This window comes from Homo sapiens, chromosome 5 (assembly GCF_000001405.40).
Source record: "Homo sapiens chromosome 5, GRCh38.p14 Primary Assembly".
Classification (NCBI taxonomy): domain Eukaryota; kingdom Metazoa; phylum Chordata; class Mammalia; order Primates; family Hominidae; genus Homo; species Homo sapiens.
This window is the reverse complement of record NC_000005.10, coordinates 132,063,271-132,076,836: the sequence shown is the minus strand read 5'-3', so window position 1 is coordinate 132,076,836 and position 13,566 is coordinate 132,063,271. Positions and strand designations below refer to the sequence as shown.

General features: G+C 56.1%; 1 protein-coding gene across 1 annotated transcript, besides 6 other annotated features; it reads right to left on the bottom strand.

The window, feature by feature from the left end:
• On the bottom strand, positions 667-3,048 carry CSF2 (colony stimulating factor 2). The gene is made up of 4 exons (NM_000758.4): positions 2,855-3,048; positions 2,715-2,756; positions 1,902-2,027; positions 667-1,092 (listed from the first exon to the last, which is right to left on the bottom strand). The coding sequence occupies exons 1-4, from the start codon at positions 3,011-3,013 to the stop codon at positions 985-987; spliced, it is 435 nt and encodes a 144-aa protein (NP_000749.2). The 5' UTR covers positions 3,014-3,048; the 3' UTR covers positions 667-984.
• Positions 11,115-11,621: an enhancer, noted in NCBI's record as "H3K4me1 hESC enhancer chr5:131400909-131401415 (GRCh37/hg19 assembly coordinates)". NCBI's record gives its function as "activates a minimal SCP1, AML or CMV promoter by ChIP-STARR-seq in naive H9 embryonic stem cells {active_cell/tissue: H9 hESC(naive)}" and the evidence as "EXISTENCE:reporter gene assay evidence [ECO:0000049][PMID:30033119]".
• Positions 11,115-13,357: a biological region, named in NCBI's record as "enhancer-blocking elements downstream of IL3".
• Positions 11,359-12,357: an enhancer blocking element, noted in NCBI's record as "candidate insulator 5-1-3; CTCF association and DNase I hypersensitivity in multiple cell types". NCBI's record gives its function as "blocks activity of the beta-globin HS2 enhancer when located between the enhancer and the Agamma-globin gene promoter in a lentiviral reporter assay in K562 erythroleukemia cells {active_cell/tissue: K562}" and the evidence as "EXISTENCE:reporter gene assay evidence [ECO:0000049][PMID:24098520]".
• Positions 11,859-12,857: an enhancer blocking element, noted in NCBI's record as "candidate insulator 5-1-2; CTCF association and DNase I hypersensitivity in multiple cell types". NCBI's record gives its function as "blocks activity of the beta-globin HS2 enhancer when located between the enhancer and the Agamma-globin gene promoter in a lentiviral reporter assay and also by colony assays in K562 erythroleukemia cells {active_cell/tissue: K562}" and the evidence as "EXISTENCE:reporter gene assay evidence [ECO:0000049][PMID:24098520]".
• Positions 11,859-12,857: an insulator, noted in NCBI's record as "candidate insulator 5-1-2; CTCF association and DNase I hypersensitivity in multiple cell types". NCBI's record gives its function as "protects against retroviral vector genotoxicity in a mouse in vivo tumor formation model" and the evidence as "EXISTENCE:in vivo assay evidence [ECO:0000178][PMID:24098520]".
• Positions 12,358-13,357: an enhancer blocking element, noted in NCBI's record as "candidate insulator 5-1-1; CTCF association and DNase I hypersensitivity in multiple cell types". NCBI's record gives its function as "blocks activity of the beta-globin HS2 enhancer when located between the enhancer and the Agamma-globin gene promoter in a lentiviral reporter assay in K562 erythroleukemia cells {active_cell/tissue: K562}" and the evidence as "EXISTENCE:reporter gene assay evidence [ECO:0000049][PMID:24098520]".

Below are 13,566 nucleotides of genomic sequence, written 5' to 3'. Positions count from 1 at the left end.
AGTGCCTGATTAGATTCAAAATTTCATGTAAAAATAAAAACCAATTCAGAAACATGCGGCACTACAGCCATGTACCAACAAATTATGACCTTACATTCTGACTCTCAGAGATTAAGATCACCCATTTTGGGGCAAGTTTGGTAAATACGCTGCACTGTGACCCCTGTGGTTTGGTTTCTTTTCCCCTGAACAGTTAGTCTATTTTGCTGTTTACTTTCGGAATGGTTAAATCTCAGAGTGTGAGGGGCAGGGCGTGGGGCACAGGGGCCAAGGCCTCTACAGGGCAGGTGTTTTGCCTGATGCCAGAGTGGGCCTGTTCAGCCAGTGACCAGCCAACCCCCAGGCCTCCCCAGGAAGGGTGGTGCCCTTCTCTGGGATAAGAGTTCCCTGGGCTGGTCACTTGGACTTCCAGGTGAACTTGAGAGCCATTCTCTGGGGTGGGAGCCCTGGAGCATCCCGGGAAGCCCGTCCAGGTGTGCAGAATTCCGCACCTATGCCCGGCTCTCACCTCCCCTCTGCTCTGACAGTGTTGGCCCTTGGATAGTGCCCAACGCCTGGGAGGCCCCCGCCCCCTCTCCACCTCCCCGTTTCCTCCCTCCCCTGCCTCATGGGAAGGCAGGCACCACTGGCATTTGCTCATGGTTAAAAACAAACTAGAACACTGGACAAGTAGAAGCATATTTTTAATAATAATTATTACGGTAAAACATCTTGAATAAATATGGAATATGAACTTAAATAAATAAATAAATAAATATTTTAAAAATATAAATATATAAATATTACTGATTTCTGTCAGTATAAAATATTCCCATTCTTCTGCCATGCCTGTATCAGGGTCAGTGTGGCCCAGGGCAGGTCCAGGCCACTCCCACCATGGCTGTGGCCCACCCCTTGGTCCCTCCAAGATGACCATCCTGAGTTTCTAGCTCTTGTTTCATGAGAGAGCAGCTCCCCGGCTTGGCCAGCCTCATCTGGCCGGTCTCACTCCTGGACTGGCTCCCAGCAGTCAAAGGGGATGACAAGCAGAAAGTCCTTCAGGTTCTCTTTGAAACTTTCAAAGGTGATAATCTGGGTTGCACAGGAAGTTTCCTTTAAAAAAAGAAAAATAAAAAACACTTGAGTCCAGGCAAGTGGGTAACGTGGGGGAAGGAAGCACCAGCATGTTTCTCTACTGCCTCTTAGAACTCAGAGGCCAGGAGGCCCACTCCAGGACACACCCACTGACCTGGGTCAGGTGACGCTGCTGCCACCCACGTGTTCCCCAAGGAGTGCATAGCTCTGCCAGTGGCAGCCAGAGTCAAGGGCCTGACTTAAGTGCCAGCCTGAGGTTGGCCTTCTGGGCAGTCAAACGCCTGCCTTTTTGGTCCCAGGGCAGAGCAGGGCAGCTGGGCTGAGGTCGTCTCTGGGCACCCAGAAGGAGTGGAGTCAAGGCCACAAACTTTGCTCCCTTCCCGCAGGAAGGAGTGCCTGAGGTCCTTGTCCATTCCAAGTAGCCTCCCTTCCTTGATCCTCTGCAATTCAAGCACCCCATGTGGGGCCAGAGGAAAGTCCTGCCAGAAGGTGGCACTTGGGCCTGGGCACTTCCTCTGGGCCTTGGGCAGGCCCCAAGTTTCCTTGGGTTTGCCCTCACCTCTGACCTCATTAACCATAATGACAATAATGACCAGGATAGGAGCAGCTCCTGCTGGGGAGCACTGTGGGCTTCAGCGCTCTGTGGCTCTGACTCCTTGGGATGAAATGGGCTGTCTGCCTCCTCTCTGGAGGGCTAATCATTACATAACTGTTGGCACAGAAACCCCCTGGGGTCCTGAACAGCCACAGCCATAGATCTCTCCCCATGTCGACCCCACCCCCTAGATTAAGACATTCCTGCTGGAGGCCCTGCCGTAGGCACTCACCGGGGTTGGAGGGCAGTGCTGCTTGTAGTGGCTGGCCATCATGGTCAAGGGGCCCTTGAGCTTGGTGAGGCTGCCCCGCAGGCCCTGCTTGTACAGCTCCAGGCGGGTCTGTAGGCAGGTCGGCTCCTGTGGAAAATGTCGTTCGTCGGTGAGCAGTGGCCAAGTGCCCACAGTGGTACAAGAACTCTCCACCACTCCTTTTTGCTGCTGCCCCCAGCCCCCAGGAGTAGGGCTTGGGAGGGGCACAGGCTGGGTCCAGTCATAGACCCTGCCCTGTCCATGGCAGGCACGAACCTGCCCTTCTCACTGCCCCGCCCAGGCCACCCTCAGCGGCACCTGGAGAGGAGCCCAGCCTTAGGGAAGGAGGTGACTCTCACCCCATCATTCAGGGAGAGGGGGGTGGGGCCTCACCTGGACCTGCTGGGTGGGCAAGGGTTGTTCCTGAAACCCCTCTGTGCCTCTCTGTAGTCAGCACTGTCTCAACAGGACTTGGTCTCGGGGCACAGTGAGCGCCCCAAACCCACAGCTCCTGTCTCATGAAGTGACCCCCACTTTACCACCTGTCCCCTGGTGACTCCTGGCCATTGAATGCTAGGTCTGCCCATGGCCGCTCAGCTGATAAAGGAGCTCATGTGACTGCCATAGGGGCACGGCCAGCAGCCTCTTGAGCACCCAGTTGCTACCCCCTCCTCCTGCAGCCAGCTGACTGGAGAGAAAGTGGACAACCCTGTGTGGTGCCATCTAAAATGGAGTCCCCACCTCCACCCCAGGGCAGGGGCTTCTGGAAAGCTATGTCAGAGAGAAGCATCTTACCTGGAGGTCAAACATTTCTGAGATGACTTCTACTGTTTCATTCTGTAGAAAAGGAAAATGTCATGTTATCAAGCTGACAGGCGTGGCCAGTCAGGGGCCAGCTGGGTGGCCTAGGCACAGGCCCACATTCTCTCACTTACCATCTCAGCAGCAGTGTCTCTACTCAGGTTCAGGAGACGCCGGGCCTCCTGGATGGCATTCACATGCTCCCAGGGCTGCGTGCTGGGGCTGGGCGAGCGGGCGGGTGCAGAGATGCTGCAGGCCACAGTGCCCAAGAGCAGCAGGCTCTGCAGCCACATCCTCCAGAGAACTTTAGCCTTTCTCTCTGTGTACTGGGCTCACTGGCAAAAGAGCTCTTAAATACACAGAGGAAATGATTAATGGTGACCACAAAATGCCAGGGAGGCGGGGGAACTACCTGAACTGTGGAATCTCCTGGCCCTTATCAGCCACACATGGGAACGGTGAGCCTTTTCCCTAGGTGGTCAGGCTTGGGGGTTTTCATTAATGAACCTTTCCAAGAACCGACAGCCCACCCACCCGCCTTCCTGAGGGCTCTCCAGCCCTCCCTGGGCAGTCTGAATGGGCCTGAGGCTGCCCCCTCCCTCTGAGGGGCACAGTTTGGACTTCCTGGCCTGGAATGGCTGGGGTGGGGCGTGGGAGACACTTAGATAGGGCTCCCCATCCTGCCTGTAATCCCAGGGGCCTTTGGGCAGGCTATGCCCGCCCTGGTGCCTCATTCTGACTCCAGCCTTCCTCTTCTCTGGCCACTGTGAGAGACTTGAGTGTGAGGGGAGCTCTCACAGACCTGCCCCACTGACAGTTCACATGGGCTCCCACCCAGGACCTGGAGCAGGGGGCAACCTCAGTCCAGTAAGGGGGGACCCCTGCCCCTGTGAGCAGAGGGAATGACCACCATGTGCACATCCAGCAGCGAGACTGCAGCCACTCTCAGCAAGCTTCAGAGGGGGTGTGGCTGGGTCAAGTCGGGACCCAGAGTCTGACTCTTGGCTCTGGAGCCACCTTCCTGAGTGACTCCCCTCTCTGGTTATGTGAACCTTGATTCCCTCTGCAGAGCAGGTTTGCCCCTCTGAGGTTCGGACTACACTCCTATATGTAGCCCCCAGAAGACACCAGGAGCTTCAGGCTGGCTCCAGGGCTGTGGCTGCATCCATCTCAGGTACAGGGACAATGGCTTCCCCAGCAAGGCCCTCCAGGCTTAATTTCCTACATAACCCCAGCATCCCCCAACTCCAGAGGCCTTTCTGTGGAAGTGTGGAAGTAGGAAATCTAAAGGCTCTTGAGGGGCTGACAAGTGTTTGATTTTCACAATGGAGTTCAGAGAAGACAGCACGAGTTTGTGTTTGCACAAGGTATCTGGCTCAAGCTGCCCCATGCCTGGGTTTCATAGCTAAAGGGGTGTGGGCCCACACGTGCCCATTTCTGGGTGTATGTGTGCTGCTGTGATTGGTTGTACATACAGGTGCCTGGTAGAGGGGAGGATGTTTTCCATGCAGATGCATCTATTGAGTCCTCTTACCTGCTTTATGAAAGGCTCCAGGCCTCTGAAGGTGACTCTGATACTGGAGAAGCTCCCTACTCCAGGTGCAGTGCCTCTGGGCCCTAGAGGCTGATTCAGCCTAAACCAGTGGGGTTGGACACAAGCGAGAACATTCTGCTGGACTCAGGTTGGCGAGCCTTCAGAGAGCAGGTGGAGTTCATGGCTTTAGCACTGTGGTCTGAGTCTGCAGCCCTGGCCAGTTTCCCTGTACTGTGGGAGTTTTTCTGACCTTGCATAGAGAAACCAAACCTTAGTCCTCCAGACCCCACTGTGAGGCCAGCCCCATCCATCTGAGCCTGCGTAGAACACTCCTAGTGGCCAGGCTGGGGTGGGAACATGAAATGTCCAGGCCCTGGCCCTTTCTCCACCTTTTTTGCAAGGCCTTGGCTCAGCTCTTTCCAGGGAGCTCTCGGGGGAGAGATGAGGACATGGATACTACATGTAGATATCACATGTGTTGGATAGCACCCTGGAGGCTGGAGGGCAGGGAAGGGAGCCATAGATAGTGGTTCAGCTGATGGCCAGGGAGGCAGAGAGCCTGTATGACCCATCTGGGAGAGAAGGTCACTTTCCTCCTAGAAATGAGTTGTCATAGCTCAGACAGTCAGTCAACAAGTCTTTCCAATCCACACCAGGACCTGTTCTGGGGAGGTAAACGGGACCCTCCCACTGGCCCTCACATTTGGCCCTTGAGGCTCCCAGTCTGGTAGGAAACAGACTGCAATGGACCCTCCCATGGTGTGACCTTGACTCGGCAGGGGGAAGTCCAGAGCTGAGGGATCCCAGAGGGCCACCTTCTCTAGCTTGGGGATCCAAGGGGACCAGAGAGCTTCACTAGAGATCCTGCCTGCAAGCCCAGGCTGAAAGGCTAGAAGTCAGGTGGGTACGTTGGGTTGGAAGGAGAGGGGCAGGAGAGGACAGGGGAGAATGTTCTGGGCACAGGGAGCCCTGGGGTTTTAGGAATGGGTATAAGGAACAGCAGGCAGACTCCAGAGAGATTGAGGAGGTAGAATCTCAACAGGACTTGGTGCTATAGTGAAGTCACTCAGTCATTCATTATTTTTTGAGCATCTACTAGGTTCCCAGCAGGGAAAAGGGACATAAGGATGACAAAAACGGTCAGGGTCCTGCCTCCAAGGACTTTTTAACCCCATCCATGGAGGAGCAAGATTAGTCTACTCACCCCCCTCCCCCCCCACCAAAGTGTGCTTTGAATGTGAGTAAGAGGAGTTAGAATCACTGTCCACATGGCTAAGGTGAGGACCCAGGGGACAAAGGAGCAGATCTTCAGAGCGTGAGGCCCACGGGAAGTTTTGGAGTTTCAGAGTCTGCATGTACAGGAGACAGATCTGGCAGCGGTACATGTCTGTGTGGTAGCTGAGGCCACGGAAGTTATTCAGGAAGAAGAGCTGAGGGCCAGCAAAGCTGTGTTTAAGGGCTGGGACATAACAGATGGGCAAGTAACAGGCCAGTGGCCAAGGGCCTAGGAGGGAAGGAAAGGAGGAAAGCAAGAGTCATAATAAGAAATCCATTTCGGCAGTGGTGGCCTGCAGGTGCCCAAGTCAGCACAAACAGGACAGAAATCCATGGGTTTGGTGATGAGGTTTGTGGGCAGCCACACATCTTTCTCATGGAAAGATGACATCAGGGCTGAGGCCATGACACAGGCAGGCATTCCTAGATTGCACTGTATTTTAAACAGTGTCAACCGATAGCCAGCCATGCTGACTCAGGGGCTCCGATGGGGCTGTGGCAGGGCAGAGGCGGGGACCACGATGGGTGGTATGACCCCTCTGGGGCCCCCCTTCCTACAGAGACAGGAGAAAACCCTCTGGAAGGAGTTTCCTATGCGTGTCCACCCCACAGGCTCTGTAGGAAACAGGGGCTTGAGTCACTCCAGGATCCTTATCACGAGAGACATTATCACAAGGGGAAGGAAATGGGCCTCAAAGTCCCTTCGGTACCATGGCACCCCCGCACAGGCTTTGGGGCTGATCTGATCCTTCTTTGACCTGTCCAACCCTTGATGAGGGTTCTTGTTATCTCTGGGGACCTGAGATCTGGGAGACCAGTGGTCAGCCCAGTCCACACAATCAGTGACCGCAGAACCAGAATTTGAACCCATATCTGTTCCTGCTATCCTAGCATTTTCCATTGTCTTGGGGTCAGGAAGTTGGGAAATGCTGATCACCTGGCTGGACCAGCAGGGGGTGGACCCAGCGTGCTTGTCCCCTCAAGGCAGCTGTAAAGAGAGATGCCTGCCAGGTGTTCGCAGGTAGGCTGGAGTGGCCTGTGACTGTCCCAGGGAAGTCTGGGCTGAAGGCAGAGTTTCCCCAGCAGATCCTGCCATCCAGGCATCTCTATGCCCCAGGCTTGGGCTCTTGCCCTTACCCAGCCACCACCAATCCCTGAAGCCTAGGAAAGTCCCTCCTCCCTGAGCCTCAACCCCTGCATCTGTACAATGGGTTAATGGCCACTGCCTCACCGAGGAAACTGTTGCCTGCCCCAGGAAACTCTGTGGGAGATCCTCCCAGGGAAGAGACAATCCTTCAATTTCTCCTCTGCCCAGTGCTAGGGGAGATTTCTGAAGCCCAAACTGGGCAGAGGAGCGAGGCCTGCTGGAGTTTCCAGGGACAGCTGCCCCTTGCCCAGCCCTAGCCGCAGAGGGCAACCTTCTGGACACACGTGGTGAGGTAGGGAGTCCGGCCTCCACCTGAGTCAGGGCTCCTGGGTCCTGCATCACCGACAGGAGATCCTGGTACCGCATGGCACCATGAGTGGTTTGTCCTTCCCTTGTCACTCCAGGCCACACCAGACATATGAAGCAACATCTCTGGCTTCTGCGGTTTCAGCCCCATTCTGTCCCCACGTGCATCCCCTCTGTCTCGGTCCCCAAATGTACACCTCAAAAAGGGAAGCTGCCCTCGCCAAGCTCCAATTCCAGTTTGGCCTCTTGGTATTCCCAGGTTCCTGGCACTGGGGAGTGCCAGGGAGGCCTGGGAGGATCTGAGGGTGGTTAACCCTCAACCACATGTGGTCTCTGCATCTATTCAGCCAAGCTTCCGGGAGGGTTTGCTGCGGAGTACGCACCTCACAGGCCCCTTGCACTCGGAGAGCTCACTTCTGGTGGTCCCATGGGGTGGGGGACAGGGAGCACAAGGCCCACACTCATAGGCAGAGACATGGAGACCATTTGCTGTGATGGGGGAGACACAAGGTCACAGGGAAGTTTGAGAGGTCAGCCCATGTTGCACTGGAATGGCAAGTTTGAGAGGCCAGGGGACCTCCAGGAAGACTCAGTCAGTTGTGGCCATGTGGGTCCGGAAGTCAGGGCATTTGGAAGTCACTGGTAAAGAGGAGGCTCCCAACACCAGAGGGGCTGTGGAGAGTGAGCCAGGCAGAAAGTAGTGGCGGGGTGTCAACTTTTGAGGATGGCCAAGGACAATGAGACCTCCTTGTTTGCTTCTTTGTTCTTGGGGCTTCCTTTTTTTCCCTCAGGATCTGGCAACTCCACCATGCACATCACTCAGGCAGAGGAGTCCTTGTGGACACAAACGCCCAATGGGTGTGCCAGGCCTTCCCACCACAGTGCCCTCCCTGACCTGTGTCTACTACTCGCCTGGTGTACTCCCTCTAGGGCCAGAAATGCATCCCCTGCTCCTGAGTCTCTGCTCTGAGCCTCATCTCTGGCTGGGAGGATCATCAGGCACCCAGAGGGGCCACAGCCTATGTGTGCCCTCTTGGGAAGAGCCATCGGGAGGTGCATTAAAAATCAAAAGCAGGAGAAATCATGAGACCAGAAGCCTGTTTAATTTCTGAAGTCCTGCAGGCATCCGTTCCTGCCCTCTATGTCTGGAGCTAGAGTCTGGGTCAAGATGCCAGGTGGAAGTCCCAGGCCCTTGCCCGGCTCGCGCACCTGCATCCCCCTGGAACTGATGGGTCAGAATTGAGGTGGCAGATGTGGGCTTTCTGCTCTCAGCAGGACGAGTGGTTCTGGAATGAGCCTCCTCCAAGACTCTTCTGGATCCCTCACGGGTCCCTCAGACTTTCCCTGAGGCCCTGTTTGGGCAGGCACAGCTCGCTGCATGTCCTTGGCCTGTGGCCTGCCCCTTCTGAGCCCCGGCTGGCTCACCCCACAGGGCATGCAGCACTACTTTTGCAGGCTGTTGGGAGATGCACTGGATATCTGCAAGGGAAGGTGTTTCTGTTTTGGTTTTCTGTTTTGGCTTGCTAGGTGCCTCCATCTAGCCTCAGTCTCGCTGTCCATCAAAGAGAGGGAATGGTTACCAGGGTCCGGACCAGCCTCCCAGCCTTCTCATTCCCTGGAGGTGAGTGTAAATTTAGGTTTCCCTCATGGGAAGTGGGCCTGTGTAGACCCCTCCCCAGGGCCCTAAAGCCTCCCCACCCCAGCCCCAGGAGGCAAACGCCACCTGCATCCTGGTGCTCGAGCCTGACTGATGGCAAAGTGGCTGAGCCATACAGATTTTCCAGAAAGAGCCAGCTTGGAACACCAGGACAGGGAACCATCCTCCTCAGTCTTTCCACTTGTCCTGGTGGGGAGGAGGTGGTCCAAGGCTGCCAGGGGCAGCTCTTGAGTCTGGCCATCAGCCTGGGAGAGCAGGGGAGTCATGTTGATCACAGACCCACTGCATGGGGACATCCTCCCTGATTCAAGGCTCTCTGAATGGTAGTGGCGGCTGCCCAGTGTTTTTATTCCTTATGCTCAGGAGGGCCTCGGCCCAGCCCATGGGATCAGGACACAGAGCAGGTGCGCAGCTGGTGCTCACGAAGGGAGGCAGGGAAGGAGACCCCTGCTCTGCTGCTCGGCCTTCGCTCCGGCGCCCGCTGCCCTCCGTTGCCTCCCCACAGCTGTCCTCCCTCCCTGACACCCTGACTTGGCCCCTCAGGGCACACACATCATCCACACAGCCTGCTGTCCTTGCTGCCCGCTGATCTCCAGCACAGCCCACTTTCCCTCCAGGAAAGGGCTGAGTCTCCAAGTGCAGGCCCCAGGCAAGTCTCTGCCAAAGCAGGTCCCGGGAGCACCCTGGGTCAAGGGCTCATGAGTCTGAGGAGGAGGGAAGGAGGCCTCACACCAGAAGGATTCCATGGACCCCACAGGGCAGGGAGGGCTCATGGAAGGGAAAGGGAAGGGGTCACTCATGAGCCATGGCTGGAGGTAGAGTTGAGCTTGGGGTCTTTGGGGAGCCTGAGTGGGAGCTGGAGGAGGCCTTGACAACCAGCCATGGCAGGGGACAGCTGGGAGCCAGGGTCTCTCTCAGAAGTTCCTTAAGGCATGGGGACAGAGACAAAGAGGAGCACAGAGGACCACCTCCCTGGATCTAAGCCCCCAATGTGTGTGTTGGTTGTGGGGAGGGGGTGCCAGGTAGGAGGACAGGACAGATGGGCGTGTAGAGGCATTTACTGGGCAATATGAGAGTGGTCAGGTGAGAAGCATGGAGCTGAGGCGCTAAGGCTGCGCTGCTCACTGTGGGCCTGGAACCAGGAGGTTGTAGGGCAGAAGTTAACACGGGAGGCTTGGATCCAGTCAAGGGGAGACCCCAGGCACATCCAGGGTCAGACTTAAAAGAATTCCTGGGCCTCAGTGGGCATTAGTGAACCACTGTTGCTTAAGGATTCAGAGGCTCTGGACTCAAATAACCTTCATTTTTCTGCCTCAGTCTCTGTCTGTGTAATGGGGATAATCACAGCCTGGGTGCCTGGGTCATTGTGGGGATTCTTTGAGTCCCTTCTCAGTCCAGGAGGGCAGCAGCAACTTTGCTGACCCACCTCGTTGAGCTTGATCTGAGGCTTTCAAGGGGGAAAGTTGGGCCCCTAGCCCCCACCCCTGGTCCACACCACCTCTGCCTCCTCTCCCTCTCTCCCACCATGGGTCCCCCATCTTCCTGGGCCCAGGGATTCCCCTCTGCTGGACCAGCCCCTATTTCCTCCAGCACCTCTCTCCCTCTGCCCTTGCTCCTTCTTGTTGGTGTTAAACACACAGTGTCTGCCATGGCTCCATCCTGTCCTTCCGCCTCCCTCCACCCACCCCTCCTCAGGCCACAGTCGTCCAGTCTTACCGTCTCCACAGCGGCCAGTCTGGGCTGGGCTGGCCTGGGATCAGAGAGGGAGGAATGGGGAGAAGAGACTAGCTAAGACCCAGAGGTGCCTGGGGCCCAGGCTGGCTGGGCTCCAGGGGCAAAAGCAGTGACCCAGGGCACAGCCTTCACCTTGGACACTTGGCACCCAGCCACACTCTGGCCTCTCCACTGCTTAGTCTCTCCTGTGCCTCCGCTTACCTTGTCTTCTCGACCTCCATGCCCTCCTCCCCCAGGGCATCTGCCTCCTTCCTTCCCTGTGCTTTTCCCACCCTTCTCTGCTGGATGAACTTCTCTCTCAGGCCCCTTCTGTGCCACCCATGGGCAGTGCCTCCGATGAGGTCCACGCCCATCCGTCGGTCCTGTGCTGTCTGTAATGACCCCCACCGCACTGTGCTGGGCCAACTGCACAAGGCCAGGAGGCCTGAAAGGCCTGGCCCAGTGTCTCACCTATGCCCGCCCCAGCCTGGGGGAGCCGTGGAGGGTCCTCAGAGCAGTTGCTCCACTGAGTCAAATGGGGGCTTGAGTCCAGGGCAGGAGGAACAGAGCCCCTTCCTGGAGTGGGAGGATTCCTGTCAAGGGGTGAGGCTTGTTGTGCCTTCTGAGTTCTGCCCTCCTTAGGCACTTGCCTTTCTGTCAATTTTCCCTTTGTTCTATTTTTCTGCATTTCCAAGTTTTTCAGTAAAGAGTATATACGCTTTCCCATCTTCTCCTCCAATGAAAAACAATAGTTTTGTTTTTTTTTTTTGAGATGGAGTCTCGCTCCAACAATAGTTTTTAAGTGAAAAATAAAATTCCTGGCTGAGAGCTGTAATCCACCTTCCCCCTGAGCAGACACCTGGGATGTGGGAAGGCAGGAACTTGGGCCTTCTCTGGTGGTTCTGGGATTTATAATGGGGCGATGCTGCCCCCTGGCGCCATCTGGACACACAGACCTGGCCCAAAGGACAGGCTCCACATCCTAATGCCATCACAGTGGGGATTCAATTTTAACATACAAATTTGGAGGGAACATAAACCTTCTGTCAAAGCATGTAGAAATTCCCCCAGCCTGTCCAGGAACTGACTGCCACTTGGTTCTGGCCCCAGTCTGGCTTTAAGCTGCAGTCTATACTATTCCAGAAGGTCAGCGAGGAGCCCCCAGCGCATCTGAAAAGGTCCGCCCACTGCCCTCTCCAGCATGTCACCTCCGCGTGCCACCCTCCGCCAGCGACAGGTCCTGACGACTGGCCTCGTGCACCAGGTCTGTGTCTGATCCAGCCACTAACCCTGCCTCTTGCAGGCATCAGTCACTAACACAGGACCAGCAGAGGAGACAGCTGCTGACCCACTCTCCAGGGTGTGAAGAGGAGGTGGCAAGCAGCGACTCATCTGGGAACATGGGGCTGGGGCACAAATGCTGCCTCAGCCCAGGATGAAAACAGGACTAGCTGTCACGTGCGAGAGGGAGGGAAAGTGAGGGCTGGGGGGAGCTGGGTGTGCAGGAGACTTGGGAAACCCAGTCCAGAGTCAGACCTCTCACCCTACCCTCTCAGGCCTGGCTCCTCCAGGACCTCTGAAGTGCCCTGAGACCAGTGGCACACACCTCCCCCTAGTGGTCAATCCAGAAACTGCAGCAGCATCCTCTGTATCTCCTCCCAGGCTAAGTCCAACAACAGACATCCCCTGGTCCCCAGGCAATGCCCTCAGTGAGCCAGGCTGGGGAGAGGTGGGGGGAGGGGGAAAAGAGAGTTCTTCTGTGGGAACATAACGATTTTTTAGGGGGAAGAATTTAGGGAAATAGAGTTCTGAGCCTGTAGCAGATAAATCTTCCATCATCTCCAGTCCCATTCAAGCAGCCGGGCTGTTCCTTATTCATAACCTCAAGGGAGGGATGGATCAAGGTGGAAAACAGGAAAAAGGGGGACAGGACCCCTGCACCTGGTGTCAGCCTCTGACGCTTTTCTGGGACTTGAGAGGAATCAGAGAGGATGCTATTGCTGCTTACGTGGTGACAGAGGAAGGCCCCTCTGCCCCTCCTTCCACTGGCAGACTGAGTAGGGCCACAGGGTGGTGTGCAGGGGAGTTAGAGGGGGGCACTCAGGGCTAAAGGGCCAGGTGGTAGACTGAAGCCACACTCGGGATGTCCCAGCCTCCTGCCTTCTGCCTCCAGGCTGGTCTGCACCACCTCCGTGCCACAGTGGCTGTCCCTCCAGTGGGTCCCTGTGTACCCACCTATTTCGGAGGAGGGCCCCATCCTGGGATGGTGTGGACAGTCCAGAGGTGGGCAGAGTTTGAGTTGGTCCATGGAATAGGAACTCATCAAGCCAAGTAAGGGCATGCCAGACTGAGGTGACAATGTGGATAGAAGCTCCAGGGCATGAAGAGAGGCTTCATGGAAGGCTGTCTAGGAAGTCCCAGCACTCCTGTTGGCTGGAGCATTGATTAGGGTGGTAGCCATGGGGGAAACAGAAGCAACAGATGGAGGTGAGCCTTATACGTTGTCCTAAGGATATGGACAAGGTCCAGAAGACCCCGAGGACTGGGGGATTCAGTATAGATCCACATGGTCAGATTTGCATTTTCTAAAACTCCATCTGGCTCCCCAGTAGAGCACAGATCGTCAGGGTGTGGGTTCCAGGGCTGGCCGGGAGGCCTACAGGGTGGCTGCTAAATCATCAGGCAGGAGAGGCTGGGGGCTTAGGCAGGGGTGGAGACTCCAGGCTTGGAGGGTTTTAAAGGAATGGAATGAAGAATTGGGTGGCTTGTGTCAGCAGAACCTGCTGCCTTGAGGGGGTCAGGGGATGTTGATCCCTGATGTTGGCCCTGGGAGGAGCAGGGGCGGCGGCTGCAGTTTCTGGAAGGACCACTAGGGGGAGACATGCCACAGGATTAGCATGCTCCAGACCACAGGGACCTGAATTCAAGCCCCAGCTGGGCCACTATCAGCTTAGGCAGTTGCTCAACCAGGCCGAACTTCAGTTTCCCATGAAACGGAGAAAACATACTCTTGGTTGGGGTGAGGAATAAGTTAGATAGCATAGGTAAAATGCTCAGAACGGCTCCTGGTACCTGGTAGCAGTTCTGTGGATTTTCAAGATTGCTAGGGTTATCATCACCTTTCTGGAAATGGGGGTGGCAGGAGGGCAGTGTGAGAACAAGCTCACCCAGACAGCATCCACGTGGCAGGATCAAGCCACCCAGGATTTGTGGC